The 16,270-nt window shown below is 50.8% G+C and overlaps 1 protein-coding gene across 15 annotated transcripts in view, besides 2 other annotated features; it reads left to right on the forward strand.

The window, feature by feature from the left end:
• Positions 1–16,270, forward strand: part of ARHGEF18 (Rho/Rac guanine nucleotide exchange factor 18) — a 131,053-nt gene that overhangs the window by 89,594 nt on the left and 25,189 nt on the right. For 13 of the 15 annotated variants that reach the window (XR_007066705.1, XR_007066706.1, XM_006722706.4 and 10 more), the window contains 7 exons: positions 1,814–1,952; positions 3,123–3,235; positions 3,382–3,522; positions 5,674–5,924; positions 8,513–8,638; positions 12,619–12,736; positions 14,937–15,185. Coding sequence is in view for 13 of the 15 variants with exons in the window: in XM_006722706.4 (XP_006722769.1) it covers positions 1,814–1,952; positions 3,123–3,235; positions 3,382–3,522; positions 5,674–5,924; positions 8,513–8,638; positions 12,619–12,736; positions 14,937–15,185 (1,137 nt within the window). In the remaining 2 variants the exon portion in view is untranslated. Of the gene's footprint in view, positions 1–1,157; positions 1,953–3,122; positions 3,236–3,381; positions 3,523–5,673; positions 5,925–8,512; positions 8,639–12,618; positions 12,737–14,936; positions 15,186–16,270 lie in introns of those variants that run through there. The other 2 variants (NM_001367824.1, NM_001130955.2) reach the window with 2 other exon arrangements.
• Positions 11,730–12,274: an enhancer, noted in NCBI's record as "OCT4-NANOG-H3K27ac hESC enhancer chr19:7515146-7515690 (GRCh37/hg19 assembly coordinates)". NCBI's record gives its function as "activates a minimal SCP1, AML or CMV promoter by ChIP-STARR-seq in naive H9 embryonic stem cells {active_cell/tissue: H9 hESC(naive)}" and the evidence as "EXISTENCE:reporter gene assay evidence [ECO:0000049][PMID:30033119]".
• Positions 12,275–12,817: an enhancer, noted in NCBI's record as "OCT4-NANOG-H3K27ac hESC enhancer chr19:7515691-7516233 (GRCh37/hg19 assembly coordinates)". NCBI's record gives its function as "activates a minimal SCP1, AML or CMV promoter by ChIP-STARR-seq in naive H9 embryonic stem cells {active_cell/tissue: H9 hESC(naive)}" and the evidence as "EXISTENCE:reporter gene assay evidence [ECO:0000049][PMID:30033119]".

Here is a 16,270-nt window from a genome sequence, read left to right on the forward strand (position 1 = left end):
CCTCCCTAGTAGCTGGTTTTACAGGCATGTGCCACCATGCCTGGCTAATTTTGTATTTTTAGTAGAGATGGGGTTTCTCCATGTTGGCTAGGCTAGTCTTGAACTCCCCATCTCAGGTGATCCACCCACCTTGGCCTCCCAAAGTGCTGGGATTACAGGCATGAGCCACCGTGTCCGGCCGCCAGATTTCTTTTTAATGCTGCTCTTTGTCCTTACCTGGGCAAAGCTTTAAGATACAATTTTATAAAATGTAAGAGTAAACTAGCCAAGTAGCCCATCTCAACTATGCTTGTCAAATAGGAGGGGAAAACTGAACCTAATGAATGATGGTTGAGCTTTATTTATTATTTGTTTATTTTTTAGGCGGAGTCTCACTCTGTCGCCCAGGCTGGAGTGCAGTGGCGCAATCTCCGCTCACTGCAACCTCCGACTCCCGGGTTCAAGCGATTCCGTGCCTCAGCCTCCCGAGTAGCTGAGATTACAGGCATCCACCACCACGCCCTTCTAATTTTTGTATTTTGTATTTTTTATTTTTTTTAAGTAGAGACGGGGGTTTCCTGGCCAGGCTGGTCTTGAACTCCTGACCTTGTGATCAACCCACCTCGGCCTCCCAAAGTGCTGAGATTACAGGCGTGAGCCACCGCACCCGGCCATAGTTGAGCTTTATTAAGTGTTGCATCTTGGGAGGCCCAAAGCAGGAGGACCGCTTGAAGTCAGGAGTTCAAGACCAGCCTGAGCAACATAGTGAGACCCCCCCCCAACCTCTACAAGAAAATATTTTTAAATTATACAGCACACCTGTAGTCCCAGCTACTCAGGAGACTGAGGCAGAAGGATTGCTTGAACCTAGGAGTTTAAGGCTGCAGTGAGCTATGGTCGGCCACTGCACTCCAGCCTGAGCTAGAGTGAGACTGTCTCTAAAAATAATAATAATTAATTTAAAAAGTTGCATCTTTCCATGAGTAGGTGAGCTTGTCAGCGGGCACACGTATCCTATGATCTGAACCCTTAAATTAATGAACAGATGGGTGTAGACAGCGGTTTGCAGCCCCTGTTGATGTTGGGTTGGTTTATAATCACCATATGGAACAGAATCGGAGCCTCGCGTCCACTTCGATGCTAGAATTCTGTTCGAGTGCTGATGACCAGGGGCGGCTAAACACCATGCCCTGCCATCTCTGGGTCTTAGAGTCACCCTAACATCTGATCTAGATTAATTATCATCATGTGCGAGGTTTTGGCATGAAGCACGCCAGGCTCACCGTTTCATGATCTTAGACTATTTACAGCAAACTCAAACAGCTCACTTGCTTTTTACACCCTGCAAAGACCAAGGGAGAGCCTGGAGGGGTTGTTTTTTTTTTCTGTTTTATTCTATCAAAGCAGCAAATACTGCAATTTCCACAGTAAATGGTCACAGTGGGGACCAATATCCTGCCCTCCAGACCCGCTGCTTCAGCCAATACAGCAAGGGAAGACGCAGCTCTGTTTTCTAGAAGGATCCCACCGAGGCATAAAAACGGCGCAGCCCAGCCTGGCGCCGCGCCGGGTCCCGGAGCCCCGGGCGCGAACATGGGGAATGCGCACTCCAAAAGCGGGGACAGGCACAGCGCGCTCCCCGGCCGCCCCGAGCTGTCTTTTTACGGCTCTTTCCCCAGGAAATGGAGCGAGAACGTCTTCTTGGATAACGAGCTGCTGACCTCCAAGATCCTGTCTGTGCTGCGGCCGCAGTCGGAGCGGGGCTTCCGCGCCGGGGACCTCCGCTACCCGACCCACTTTCTCAGCACCAACTCTGTCCTTGCCTCTGTCACAGCCTCGCTCAAGGAGCACCCCCGGGGCACCCTCCTGTCCGATGGCAGCCCGGCCCTGTCCAGGAATGTCGGTATGACGGTCTCTCAGAAAGGGGGTCCCCAGCCAACACCGAGCCCGGCTGGCCCTGGGACGCAACTCGGGTAAGCCAGGGTCCCCTCTGTGCCCTCGGGTGGGTGGTGGCATTCCCCGGGGAGCTGTTGACAGCCTCTTCGGAGGGAGACCCCGACTTAGATCTGTGTGAATCCACACGGCAGCCCCCGTGCTAAGCAGAGAAATTCCCATTAACGCTTGCTTCCAGGATCCACGCCTTTTTTGCAAAAACGATGTGTCCCGGGGTGTATTCGGCCCCTGGTGGAGCCAGTTTGCTTAGTGCCCTCGAGGGATCCTTGGACTCGCTCCTTAGGCCGGGCTCCTGACTTACTCAAGGCGATGCTCAAAGTCCTGCTGGGTGTGTGGAGGCGGCGTCCCATTATCTGTGCCTTACCTCGTTTTATAGGACTTCAAAGTGGTTCCCTTGATAATGCCTGCAGCGGTGTCCGGGTAGAAAGTGATGCTAGAAGCTGATATGTTTGTGGTGACTATTCCATGAGTTCGTGGGAAAGGGAGTAAATTATCATTTTCCTCTGAGTAAGGACTGCCCTCCCACCTTGACCATGAAACCATTTCCACTTAACTCCTGGTAGACAGGATCCCAGGGGCCCCAAGTGGGCTCCAGTGGTCTGTCAAGGAAGCTGCAATCCACACCCCGTTAGAACGTAACTAAACATTAAAGGAAGTTACTATGGAAGAAATCCTGATGTGACATTGACAGATAATCTTCCCCACCCCCCGCCCCCCACCACTTTTTTTTTTTTTTCTTTAGACAGAGTCTCTGTCGCCCAGGCTGGAGTTCAGTGGCACAATCTCAGCTCACTGCAACCTCCACCTCCCAGATTCAAGTGATTCCCCTACCTCAGCCTCCCAAGTAGCTGGGATTACAGGCACCTGCCACCACACCCGGCTAATTTTTGTATTTTTAGCAGAGACGGGATTTTGCCATGTTGGGCGAGCTGGTCTCGAACTCCTGACCTCAGGTGATCCTCCTGGCTTTGGCCTCCCAAAGTCTGGGATTACAGGCGTGAGACACTGCACCTGGCAAATCTCCCAATTTTTAAAAATGATCTGTAGACAAAGTTGAGGCTTCTGTGAAAATGTGGAGAGTTCTCAGAGAGTATCGAATCGGATGGAGTCACCGATGTGCCTTTGTTGCATGAGGTCGTGTGTGTTTAATTCACTTTTCTAAAACAATTGTTTTTATTGTTTGCACTCAGACCAATCACAGGAGAGATGGATGAAGCCGATTCTGCGTTTTTAAAATTTAAGCAGACAGCTGATGACTCTCTGTCCCTTACATCTCCAAACACCGAGTCCATTTTTGTAGAAGGTATGGTCATCTCCGCTCTCTCGCGGCTGCCACACAGTTCCTGTCTCTCCTGGGAAGAGCTGGGGCTCGTGTCAGCATGTCTACGGGAGGGAATTGGGGTGGCATGGCTCTGGGCCCCCAGCAGCCACACCTCGCTCTTCCCTCAGATCCCTACACCGCCTCGCTGAGGAGTGAGATTGAGTCAGACGGCCACGAGTTTGAAGCTGAGTCCTGGAGCCTCGCCGTGGATGCAGCCTACGCCAAGAAGCAAAAGAGGGAGGTGGTGAAAAGACAAGATGTCCTTTATGGTGAGGAGTCCACAGCCCTGTGCCATCACACCGGCCCTCCACTCTCTTCTCTGCTCCCTCCCTTCCTCCCTCCCTTCCTTCCTTCCTTCCTTCCTTCCTTCCTTCCTTCCTTCCTTCCTTATCTTTTTCTTTCTTTCTTTCTCTCTTTCCTTCTCTCTTTTGTCCTCTTTCTCTCTTTCTTTCTTTCTTTTTTTTCTTTTTTGAGACACAGTCTCTCTCTATTGCCCAGGCTGGAGTACAGTGGGACAATCAGAGCTCACTGCAGCCTCGACCTGGGCTCAAACAATCCTCCCACCTCAGCCTCCCTAGTAGCTGGGACCACAGGCATGGGCCACTACACCTGGCGAATTTTTTTATTTTCTGTAGAGTTGGGGGTCTCACCATGTTGCCCAGGCTGGTCTCAATCTCCTGAGCTCAAGTGACCCGCCCGCCTGGGCCTCCCAAACTATTGGGATTATAGGCGTGAGCCACGGTGCCTGGCCTCTCTCTGTCTTTCTCTCTCCTCTCTTGGTGCAGCCCTGCCTCCCATGCCAGGAAAGAGACTGTCGGAGAGGATTTTGTTATAATACGTCCCTGTGAACATGTCTGGCTGAATGCCCAGGTCTGGCTTCTTCTTCCCTTGTTGGTGGCTGTCTTAGCCTATATAGGCAGCTCTCATAGAACACCATACACAGGGTGGCTTAGAAGCCACAGAAGTTTATTGCTTACAGTTCTAGAGGCTGGGACGTCTAAGACCAAGGCGGCGGCAGACTTAGTGTCCATGAAGGCCCCATTTCCTGGCTTCCTGCTGGTGGCATCTGGCTGTGTCCTCACAAGGTCTTCATGGTCTTTCTCAGGTCCTCTTTTTTCTTTTTTTGAGACAGGGTCTTACTCTGTCACCCAGGCTGGATGCAGTGATGCAGTCTCAGCTCCCTGCAACCTCCACCTCCCAGGTTCAAGCAATTGTCCTGCCTCAGCCTCCCGAGTAGCTGAGATGACAGTGCCTGCCACCATGCCCAGCTAATTTTTTTTTTTTTTTTTTTTTTTTTGAGATGGAGTCTCGCTCTGTCGCCCAGGCTGGAGTGCAGTGGTTCCATCTCGGCTCACCTCCACCTCCCGGGTTCAAGCAATTCTCCTGCCTCAGCCTTCCAAATAGCTGGAATTACAGGCGCCCACTGCCACGCCCAGCTAATTTTTGTATTTTTAGTAGAGGCGGTGTTTCACCATGTTGGTCAGGCTAGTCTCGGACTCCTGACCTCATGATCCTCCCACCTTGGCCTCCCAAAATGCTAGGATTACAGGCGTCAGCCACCATGCCCGGCCATGCCCGGCTCATTTTTTTATTTTTTGGTAGAGACAGGGTTTCGCTGTGTTGGCTAGGCTAGTCTCGAACTCCTGACCTCATGTGATCTGCTCACCTCGGCCTCCCAGAGTGCTGGGATTACAGACGTGAGCCACCACCCTTGGCCCTCAGGTCCTTTTCCTAAGGGCACCAGTCCCACCATGAGGTTCTCTCCCCTTAGGACCTCATCACCTTCCAAGGGCTGTACCTCCTGATACTATCACCTTTGGGGTTCGAATTTCGACATACGAATTTTGGGGGACGCAAACATCTTGTTCATTGCAGTCTAGGTCTGGTCAGGGACACACACAGATGTGATGGATGAGTTTTAACAGCCACAGGAGTGTTCCTCAGAACACTCTTCTTCCTAAAACAGACTTGATAGCCAGGCGTGGTGGTGTGCACCTGTAATCCCAGCTACTTGGGAGGCTGAGGCAGGAGAATCGCTTGAACCCGGGAGGCGGAGGTTGCAGTGAGCTGAGATTTTGCCACTGCACTCCAGCCTGGGCGACAGAGCAAGACTCCATCTCAAAGAAAAAAAAAAAAACACGGACTTAAAATGTCGTCCGTTGGGTTGACACTGGGCGCAAAACCCTCCCGTGATGGGGAGGCCCAGGGTTCTCTCCTTCCCCTGCTCCTTCAGGCTGGGATCCCCCGCAGCATTCTAAACCCTGGACACCCTGGAAGTAAGAAAGATCCCAAAGGCACAAGGTCTTAGGCAGAGAACTCTCAGAAGCCAGTTCAGCACGTGAAGGGCAGGCAGCACCCACGACTGCCCAGCGGGGCCGTGGAGCCAGCATGGCTAAGTCCTGCCGTCTGTGTCCCTGCAGAGCTGATGCAGACAGAGGTGCACCACGTGCGGACGCTCAAGATCATGCTGAAGGTGTACTCCAGGGCCCTGCAGGAGGAGCTGCAGTTCAGCAGCAAGGCCATTGGCCGCCTCTTCCCATGCGCTGACGACCTGCTGGAGACGCACAGCCACTTCCTCGCTCGGCTCAAGGAGCGCCGCCAGGAGTCCCTGGAGGAGGGCAGTGACCGGAATTATGTCATCCAGAAAATCGGCGACCTCCTGGTTCAGCAGGTGGGTGCAGCCGTGTTCATCTCAACAGTCTTCAAAGCCTCTGCCTTGTCTCTGTTCCTTTCTTCTTTTTTTCTGAGATAGGGTCTTGCCGTGTCGCCCAGGCTGGAGTGCAGTGGTGCAGTCACAGCTCAATGCAGCCTCAACCTCTCAGGCTCAGGTGATCCTCCCACCTCAGCCTCCCAAGTAGCTGGGACTACAGCTATGCGCCACCATACCCGGCTAAATTTTATTTTTTGTAGAGATGAGGTCTCACTCTATGGCCCAGGCTGGTCTTGAACTCCTGAGCTCAAGTGATCCTCCTGCCTCAGCCTTCCACGTAGCTGGGACTCCAGGGAACACCATGCCTGGCTAACTTTTTATTTTTTGAAGAGATGGGGTCTTGCTTTGTTGCCCAGGCTAGTCTCAAATTCCTGGCTTAAGCAATCCCCCTGCCTCGGCATCCCAAAGTGCAGGGATCACAGGCATGAGCCATTGTGCCAGCCTTTTCCTTTCAGTAATAAAACGAGAGTGGCCCCTGAGGACACACAGTTCTGGGCCCCTTACAGCGATGCCTGCAGTTCATATTCTAGAAACACAGAGACCTAAATTAGGCAGTGTCCCTGGCTGAACACTATTCAATGTTACATTCTTCTGTGCTCTTGTTTGGTTGGTTGGTTTTTGGTTTTTGGTTCAAGTCACTTATGCTTTCAACCGTTCAAAGCTTACCTGTTGACTGAGTGCAGTGGCCCACACCTGTAATCCCAGCACTTTGGGAGGCCAAGCAGGTGAATTGCTTGAGTCCAGGAGTTCCAGACCAGCCTGGGCAACATAGCAAGACCCCGTATCTACAAAACATGAAAATAAATTAGCCAGCTGTGGTGGTGTATAGCTGTAGTCCCAGCTACTCAGGAGGCTGAGGTGGGAGGATCACTTGAGCTTGAGAGGTCAAGGCTGCAATGAGCTATGATCATGCCACTGCCCTCCAGCCTGGGCAGCAGAGTAAGACCCCAATTTGGGAGTGGGGGAAAGCATACCTGTGAACCAGCACCAACCGTGGTAGTGGTATTAACCCCAAATGATCACCCTAGGCCAAGATTTACCCAGGGGAGCTGTGCCCTTCATGTGACCTCAAACTATTTGCTCGAAGCATCCTGGGCCAACTAATTAGAAGAACACTCCTTTTGCTTTTTATGTTTCTTTTTTTGAGACAAAGTCTCACTCTGTCGCCCAGGCTGGAGTGCAGTGGTGCAATGTCGGCTCACTGCAACCTGCACCTCCCAGGTTCAAGCAATTCTCATGCCTCAGCCTCCCGAGTAGCTGGGATTACAGGTGCCTGCCACCACACCCGGCTAATTTTTTTTGTATTTTTAGTAGAGACAGGGTTTCACCATGTTGGCCAGGCTGGTCTTGAACTCTTGACCTCAGGTGATCCGCCTGCCTCAGTCTCCCAAACTGCTGGGATTACGTATGTGAGCCACTGCGCCTGGCCTGCTTTTTGTTTCTAACGTCCTTTGGCTGAAATTTACTTTTTTTCTCGGCTCTCAGGAAGTTGTACAGCATCTGTGATGCAGCAAAGCCCCGAAGCAGAAGGTTTTTTTATTTCACCTTTATGACACCTTGCGATTAGACACCCCAAACTGAAGCATTTCTCTGTTTGAGGACATATTAGAAAATGGAACTGCAGCCAGGCACTGTGGCTCACACCTGTGACCCCAACACTTTGGGAGGCTGAGTGGGGGTGGATCACTTGAGGTTATGAGTTCAAGGCCAGCCTGACCAACATGGTCAGGTTAGCCAGGTGTGGTGGTGGCACCTGTAATCCCAGCTACTCAGGAGGCTGTGGCAGGAGAATCACTCAGACCCGGAAGGCAGAGGTTGCAGTGAGCCAAGATCACACCACTGCCCTCCAGCCTGAGCCACAGAGCAAGATGCTGTCTCTAAAAAAAATAAAAGAAAATGGAATTGCAAATAAATCTAATATTTATTTTAGCAGAGTCAGACAAATTAGATGAAAATATACTTTGGCTGGCCAGGCGCGGTGGCTCATGCCTATAATCCCAGCACTTTGGGAAGATGAGGTGGGTGGATCAAGAGGTCAAGAGTTCGAGACCAGCCTGACCAACATGGTGAAACCTGGTCTCTACTAAAAATACAAAAATTAGCAGGGCATGGTGGCATGCCCCTGTAATCTCAGCTACTCAGGAGGCTGAGGCAGGAGAATCGCTTGACCCCGGGAGGTGGAGGTTGCAGTGAGCCAAGATCACGCCACTGCACTCCAGCCTGGGCAACAGAGTGAGACTCTGTCTAAAAAAAATTAGCCAGGCGTGGTGGCGGCACCTGTAATCCCAGCTACTTGGGAGACTACAGCAGGAGCATCGCTTGATCCCGGGAGACAGAGGTTGCAGTGAGCCAAGATCGCGCCATTGCTCTTTAGCCTGAGCCACAGAGCAAGATGCTGTCTCAAAAAAAAAAAAAAAAGAAGAAGAAAGAAAGAAAATGGAATTGCAAATAAATCTAATATTTATTTTAGCAGACTCAGACGAATTAGATGAAAATACTCTTTGGCAGTTTTCGTGTTTAATTAACATTTCCATCCTTTTGTTTATCAGTTTTCAGGTGAAAATGGGGAGAGAATGAAAGAAAAGTACGGTGTGTTTTGTAGTGGCCACAATGAAGCTGTTAGTCATTACAAGTTGCTGCTTCAGCAAAACAAGAAATTTCAAAACTTGATCAAGGTAAAAACAATTTTTTTTTTTAATCAAAAACTTATATTCTGGCCGGGCGCAGTGGCTCACGCCTGTAATCCCAGCACTTTGGGAGTCTGAGGCGGGCGGATCACAAGGCCAGGAGATCGAGACCGTCCTGGCCAACATGGTGAAACCCCGTCTCTATTAAAATACAAAAAATTAGCCTGGCATGGTGGCACGCACCTGTAATCCCAGCTACTTGGGAGGCTGAGGCAGAGGAATTGCTTGAACCCAGGAAGCAAAGGTTGCAGTGAGCCGAGATCGTGCCACTGCCACTGCACTCGAGCCTGGCAACAGAGCAAGACTCTGTCTCAAAAAAAACAAAAACAAAATAACAAAAAGCAAAAAAAAAAACTTACATTCTTCACTGTGGGGTTTTTCCACAGAATTGTAGAGTCTTGAGACTTGGGAATTAAAAGGCATCTGTTATGTAGCAGTGATTTTTCAAGGTTTGGTTTGGGTTTTAACTACAACCCCATTCAGAACACGTCAGTGAAATCTTACATAGAATCCTGAGATGTAAAATAAAGCGGGCCAGATGCAATGCCTCACGCTGTAAATCCAGCACTTCGAGAGGCCAAGGCAGGAGGATCACTTGAGGCCAGGAGTTCGAGACCAGCCTGGGCAACATAGCAAGATCCTGTCTCTAAGAAAAATTTAAAAATTAGCCAGGCATGGTGGTGCACACCTGTAATCCCAGCTACTCCAGCCGCTAAGGAGGGAAAATCAGTTGAGCTCAGGAGTTTAAGAGCAGCCTGGGCAACATAGCAAGATCCCATCTCTATTATATAAGATACATATGTATACACACACACATATTAACAAAATCAATCAAAGAAAGCATATCTAGACTTTGTTCCTTACCAGGCCACGGTGGCCCCTGAGAGACCCCTGCAGCTCAGTATGGGACCTGCTGACCACCACTTTGTGTCATCACTGTTTGGATGACACAAAGGGTCGTTTGAAGGGGCTGCCCTGCCCCAGGAACTGGGCCTCCAGATCCAGCCTGTCTTGCCTTGGGGATGCCGTCTGTCTCAAGGAGGGTTACTCCAGATGGGCACGGTGGCTCACACCTGTAATCCCTGTAACTTTGGGAGGCCAAGGCGGGCAGATCACCTGAGGTCAGAAGTTCAGTACCAGCCTGCCCAACATGGCGAAACCCCGTCTTTACTAAAAATACAAAAAATTAGCCAGGCGTAGGCCGGGCACAGTGGCTCATGCCTGTAATCCCAGCATTTTGGGAGGCCAAGGCGGGTGGATCACGAGGTCAGGAGATCGAGACCATCCTGGCTAACATGGTGAAACCTGGTCTCTACTAAAAGTACAAAAAATTAGCCAGGCGTGGTGGTGGGCGCCTGTAGTCCCAGCTACTCGGGAGGCTGAGGCAGAAGAATGGTGTGAACCCGGGAGGCGGAGCGTGCAGTGAGCTGAGATCGCACCACTGCACTCCAGCCTGGGCAACAAGAGCGAAACTCCGTCTCAAAAAAATACAAAAAAAAAAAAGGAGGGTTACTCCAAACTTTTGTCCCCTTGCTGGTCCATGTTCGCCCCCGGAGCGTGTAGAATGATCTTCCTGCCTCCTTTGTGTGAGCGTGGGTAGGTGCTCGAAGCCCAGCCGGAGTCAGCCAAGTCAAGGGAGACCCCACCTCCCACGTCCTAGAAACCACACTTGGATGATGGCTAGTTGGTTCTATCAACATTCACCTCTTTAGAGGCCCTAACACTGCTGATTCCACAAGAGCTGCATCACCTGTGGCCTGGCCAGGACTTGGTTCTGCAGTGGCATTCTACACCCAGTGGTCCAAAGTTAGGAGTGACATGCGTTTAAACTTCATTGCATTATAGGTAGGTAGGAAAGGGGGAGGATCGTTTTGGAGCCGCAGTTCCTCAAAGCCAGGAGGGGGATTCCAATGAAACCTCCGTCCACGGACTCTTGCAAATCCCACAGCGGCTCCGGGCCTCTTCAGTGGCTCTCTGCAAGTGCTGGCATCCCTCAAATGCATACAAGAGCAGCGGGAGCAAACAAGCAGAAAATGTGCTATGCTCCCGAGAGAGTGTCAGGTGACCCCTTTTGGTTCTTAGCCAGAGGTGAGCATCAGAAAGCACCCAGGCTGGGCGTGGTGGCTCACGCTTGGAATCCCAGCACTTTTGGGGAGGCCAAGGCAGGCGGATCACTTGAGCCCAGGAGTTTGAGACCAGTCTGGGGAATATGGCGAAACCTCATCTCTACTAAAACTACAAAAATTAGCCAGGTGTGGTGGCGCACACCTGTAATCCCAGCTACTCGGAGGCTGAGACAGGAGAATCGCTTAAACTTGGGAGGCGGAGGTTGCAGTGAGCTGAGATCACACCCAGGGACCCATTCAAAAGGCACAGGCCCACTCTAGTTCTGGAGGGTTCCAGCAGTCATGGGTTAGGGGGTGTGTGTTCATGTGTACATTGTGTGTGTGGACAGCTTGACAGATGATTTCCATAATAACCCCCTGGCTGGTTCTCATTTATTTTATTTTTTTAGAGTCAGGGTCTTGCTCTGTGGCCCAGGCTGGAGTGCAATGGAAGAATCATGGCTCACTGCAGCCTCAAACTCCTGGGCTCAAGCAAAACCTCCTGTCTCTGCTTCCTGAATAGCTGGGACTACAGGAGTGTGCCACCATGCCCAGCTAATATTTTAATTTTTTGTAGAGATGGGGTCTTGCTGTGTTGCCCAGGCTGGTCTCAAACTCCTGGTCTCAAGCATTCCTTCCACCTTGGCCTCCCAAAGTGCTGAGATTACAGGCATGAACCACCACATCTGTCCTTTGGTGGCCTTTGTATATACAGCAGGTGATCCCTGCGTTCAGGTATCTGGTGTCTGTCTCCTCCAAAGTGGCAAAGGAAAGGTCCTGGTGAGCTGAGAAAGGAAGGAGCCCCCAGCCTTGGCAGCCGATTGTTGACAAATTGGGCAGAAACCGAGATGTTAATGCAGGATCTTGCTGTCCATTTCCGAGATGTTAATACGCAATCTTGCTGTCCATTTCCGAGCTGTTAATGCGGTATCTCGCTTTCTGTTTCTGAGATGTTAATACAGGCTCTTGCTGTCCATTTCCGAGATGTTAATATGGGATCTTGCTTTCTGTTTCCATTTCCAAGACGTTAATACAGGATCTTGCTGTCCATTTCCAAGATGTTAATGCGGGATCTTGCTGTCCGTTTCTGAGATGTTAATACGGGATCTTGCTGTCCGTTTCCAAGATGTTAATGCGGGATCTTGCTTTCCGTTTCCGTTTCCGAGATGTTAATACAGGATCTTGCTTTCCGTTTCCGTTTCCGAGATGTTAATACGGGATCTTGCTGTCCATTTCCGAGATGTTAATACAGGATCTTGCTTTCTGTTTCCATTTCCGAGGTGTGAATGTCGATCTTGCTTTCTGTTTCCAAGACATTAATATGGGATCTTGCTTTCCATTTCCATTTCCAAGATGTTAATACGGGATCTTGCTGTCCATTTCCGAGATGTTAATGCGGGATCTTGCTGTCCGTTTCCGAGATGTTAATGCAAGATCTTGCTTTCCGTTTCCGAGATGTTAATGCGGGATCTTGCTGTCCGTTTCCACGGTGTTAATGCGGGATCTTGCTTTCCGTTTCCGAGATGTTAATACGGGGTCTTGCTGTCCGTTTCCGAGATGTTAATGCGGCGTCTTGCTGTCCGTTTCCGAGATGTTAATGCGGGGTCTTGCTGTACCTTTCTGAGATGTTAATGCAGGATCTTGCTGTCCGTTTCCGAGATGTTAATGCGGGATCTTGCTGTCCGTTTCCGAGATGTTAATGCAGGATCTTGCTGTCCATTTCCGAGATGTTAATATGGGATCTTGCTGTCCATTTCCGAGATGTTAATGCGGGATCTTGCTGTCCGTTTCTGAGATGTTAATACAGGATCTTGCTGTCCGTTTCTGAGATGTTAATACAGGATCTTGCTTTCTGTTTCCTAGAAAATTGGCAACTTCTCCATCGTGCGGCGGCTTGGCGTGCAGGAGTGCATTCTCCTGGTTACACAACGCATAACCAAATACCCAGTGCTGGTGGAGCGCATCATCCAGAACACGGAAGGTAGGCCTTCTCCCCACTGCCCCGCCCGCCCGTGCTGCTGCAGCACAGGGCTCTCTCCGTGTACCCACTCCCTATTTGAGCAGCAAACTGAATAAATTCCCTTTGAAATCCAGTTTGCTGGGTGCTGGGGTTCCTTCCTTTTTTTTTTTTTTTTTTTTAAGAGACAGAGTCTCACTCTGTTGCCCAGGCTGGAGTGTAGTGGTGAAATCATAGCTCATTGCACAGCCTCCAACTCTGGGGCTCAAGTGGTCCTTCTACCTCAGCCTCCCAAGCACCTGGGACTACAGGCATACGCCACTACACACAGTTAATTTTTTTTAATTTTTTTTTTAGAGATGGGGTCTCGCTGTGTTACCCAGGCTGGTGTGGAACTCCTGGGTTCAAGTGATCCTCCCACCTCGGTCTCTCCAAAGTGCTGGGATTACAGGCATGAGCCATCACATCTGGCCTGGGTTTTTTTGTTTTGTTTTGTTTTGAGACAGTCTTGCTGTGTCCCTCAGGCTGGAGTACAGTGGCACGATCTCGGCTCACTGCAACCTCCACTTCCCAGGTTCAAGTGATTCTCCTGCCTCAGACTCCCGAGTAGCTAGGACTACAGGCGCCCACCACCACACCTAGCTAACTTTGATATTTGTAGTAGAGATGGGGATTCACCATGTTGATCAGGCTGGTCTTAAACTCCTGGCCTCAAATGATCCACCCATGTTGGCCTCCCAAAGTGCTGGGATTACAGGCATGAGCCACCATGCCACGCCCAGCCTGGCCTGGGGCTTTTGATACAAGAAAGATGGGGTGGTCAGCACCATGAAAGCAGGAGCCAGGTCTCATTTGCCAACTGTTTCCCCCAGCCCCTAGCACAGGCTGGGCCACTGCAGGCCCTCAGTGTTAGTGTCTGTGGAAAGGATGAATGGATGGAGACGGTGCCCTGGTGGTTCAAACAGACCCAGAGATGGCCTCTGTGTCACATGACCAGGGCTGAGCAAGGGATGTGTCTGGAGCCAGGGAGGCAGAGAAGGGCGGGCAGTCCAGCCAGGAGTTCTGGCAGCCAGGGCCGTGCTGACCACAGCTCTCGCTTCACCACTGAATTCAGGCCGTGAGAGGATGAACAAATTTCCCCACTATAAAAGCCACATCCTTGGAGTGGGAAGAGCCAGATCCCAGTCACAACAGGAGGTGGAGGGAATCTAATTTATTTATTTATTTATTTATTTATTGTAAGATGGAGTTTCACTCTTATTGCCCAGGCTAGAGTACAGTGGCATGATCTTGGCTCACTGCAACCTCTGCCTCCTGGGTTCAAGTGATTCTCCTGCCTCAGCCTCCCGAGTAGCTGGGATTACAGGCATGTGCCACCACGCCTGGCTAATTTTTATATTTTTAGTAGAGACGAGGTTTCTTCATGTTGGTCAGGCTGGTCTTGAACTCCCGACCTCAGGTGATCTGCCCGCCTCAGCCTCCCAGAGTGCTGGGATTACAGGCGTGAGCCACCATGCCCAGCTGGGAGTCTTTTATGAAGGGATTGGGACAGAGGAAAGTTCGTTTACCAAGCAGTAGATGGCAGAGCTAGTCATGGCAGTTTTGCCACTTGAATTGCACCTTAGCTTCTGCATTCGATAGATGCTCTACCTAGGTAAAAATTCAGCTCTGGGCCAGGCACAGTGGCTTATGCCTGTAATCCCAGCACTTTGGGAGGCTGAGGCAGGCGGATCACTTGAAGTCAGGAGTTTGAGACCAGCCTGGCCAACATAGTGAAACCCCGTCTCTACTAAAAATACCAAAAAAAATAGCTGGGCATGGTGGCGGGTGCCTGTAATCCCAGCTACTTGGGAGACTGAGGCAGGAGAATCGCTTGAACCTGGGAGACAGGTTGCAGTGAGCTGAGATTGCGCCATTGTACTCTAGCCTGGGTGACAGAGCCAGACTCCGTCCACCCTACCCTCCCCCCCCCAAAAAAAACCTAAACTCTGACGTGTTGCATTTATTTTGGAGAACTATTTGCATCTCAGGAGATTACATTTGGGAAGTGATCTTGAGGGTCTTCTGAGTGGTGGCCTTGGAGAACACACCTCATAGATCCCACACGCCCATACATAGTGTGTCCACACACCTCATAGATCCACATGTCCATACATAGTGAGTGTGTCCACTTCTGTTGTGTTAAAGTGGAAAAGAAAGACGCTAACTCTGCTATGTGTGGCAGCTGGCACTGAGGACTATGAAGACCTGACCCAGGCCTTGAACCTCATCAAAGATATCATCTCACAAGTGGACGCCAAGGTCAGTGAGTGTGAGAAGGGCCAGCGCCTCAGGGAGATCGCAGGGAAGATGGACCTGAAGTCTTCCAGCAAACTCAAGAACGGGCTCACCTTCCGCAAGGAAGACATGCTTCAGCGGCAGCTCCACCTGGAGGGCATGCTATGCTGGAAGACCACATCAGGGCGCTTGAAAGGTAAAGGCCTGCCCCTGCCCACCTCTAGTGGGTGCCATCTTGGATCAGTGGGCACTGTCTTGGAGTGGTGGGCACTGTCTTAGATTAGTGGCACCATCTTGTATCAGTGGGTACCATCTTGGAGAGGTGGTCACCATCTTGGATTGGTGGGTACTCTCTTGATTGGTGGCACTATCCTGTATCAGTGGGTACCATTTTGGAGTGTTGGTTCCCATTTTTTATTGGTGGGTGCCATGTTGGATTGGTGGCATTATATTGGATTGGTGGGTGCTATCTTGGGTTGGTAGCACCATCTTGGGAGTTGTGGGTGCCCTCTTAGAGTGATGGGTGCCATCTTGGATCAGTGGGCATCATCTTGGATTGGTAGGTGCCATATGGGATTAGCAGCACCATCTTGGAGTGGTGGCACCATATTGGATTGGTGGGTGCCATCTTGGGAGTTGTGGGCACCCTCTTGGAGTGGTGGGTGCCATCTTGGATCAGTGGCACCATCTTGGTGGGTTCCCTCTTGAATCAGTGGGCACAATTTGGGTTGGTGGGTGCCATCTTGGATTGGTGGCACAGTCTTAGGAATGATGGCACCATCTTAGATCACTGGGTGCCTCTTGGATCAGTGGCATAGTCTTGGAAATAGTGACATCCTGGATCAGTGAGTACCATCTTGGATCAGTGAGCACCATCTTGGAATGGTGGCATCATCTTGATCAGTGGGCTCCCTCTTGGATCAGTGGCCACCATTTTGATTGGTGGGTGCCATCTCGGACTGGTGGCATGGTCTTGGGAGTGGTGGCATCCTCTCAGATCAGTGGGTGCCCTCTTGGATCAGTGGGCACCATCTTGGTTTGGTTTGGTGGGTGTCAACTGACACAGAGCCACTGAAGTCTGGCTACTTCATGGCTGAAGGGAGGTTATGAGCTGAGTCAGGATGAGCAAGGCAGCTGGGGTGTAGCATAAAAGAGATGGTTGTATCACCGTCCTCCTCCTCTGGTCTTTGGAAGGGTGCAGTACACACCAGGAGGGCATGCTGAGTTGTTGACTTCCCAATGGAAACCCAGGGCATTGGTGGCACATCGAGACACCCCAGG

The sequence above is a fragment of the Homo sapiens genome, chromosome 19 (genome assembly GCF_000001405.40).
Source record: "Homo sapiens chromosome 19, GRCh38.p14 Primary Assembly".
NCBI lineage: Eukaryota > Metazoa > Chordata > Mammalia > Primates > Hominidae > Homo > Homo sapiens.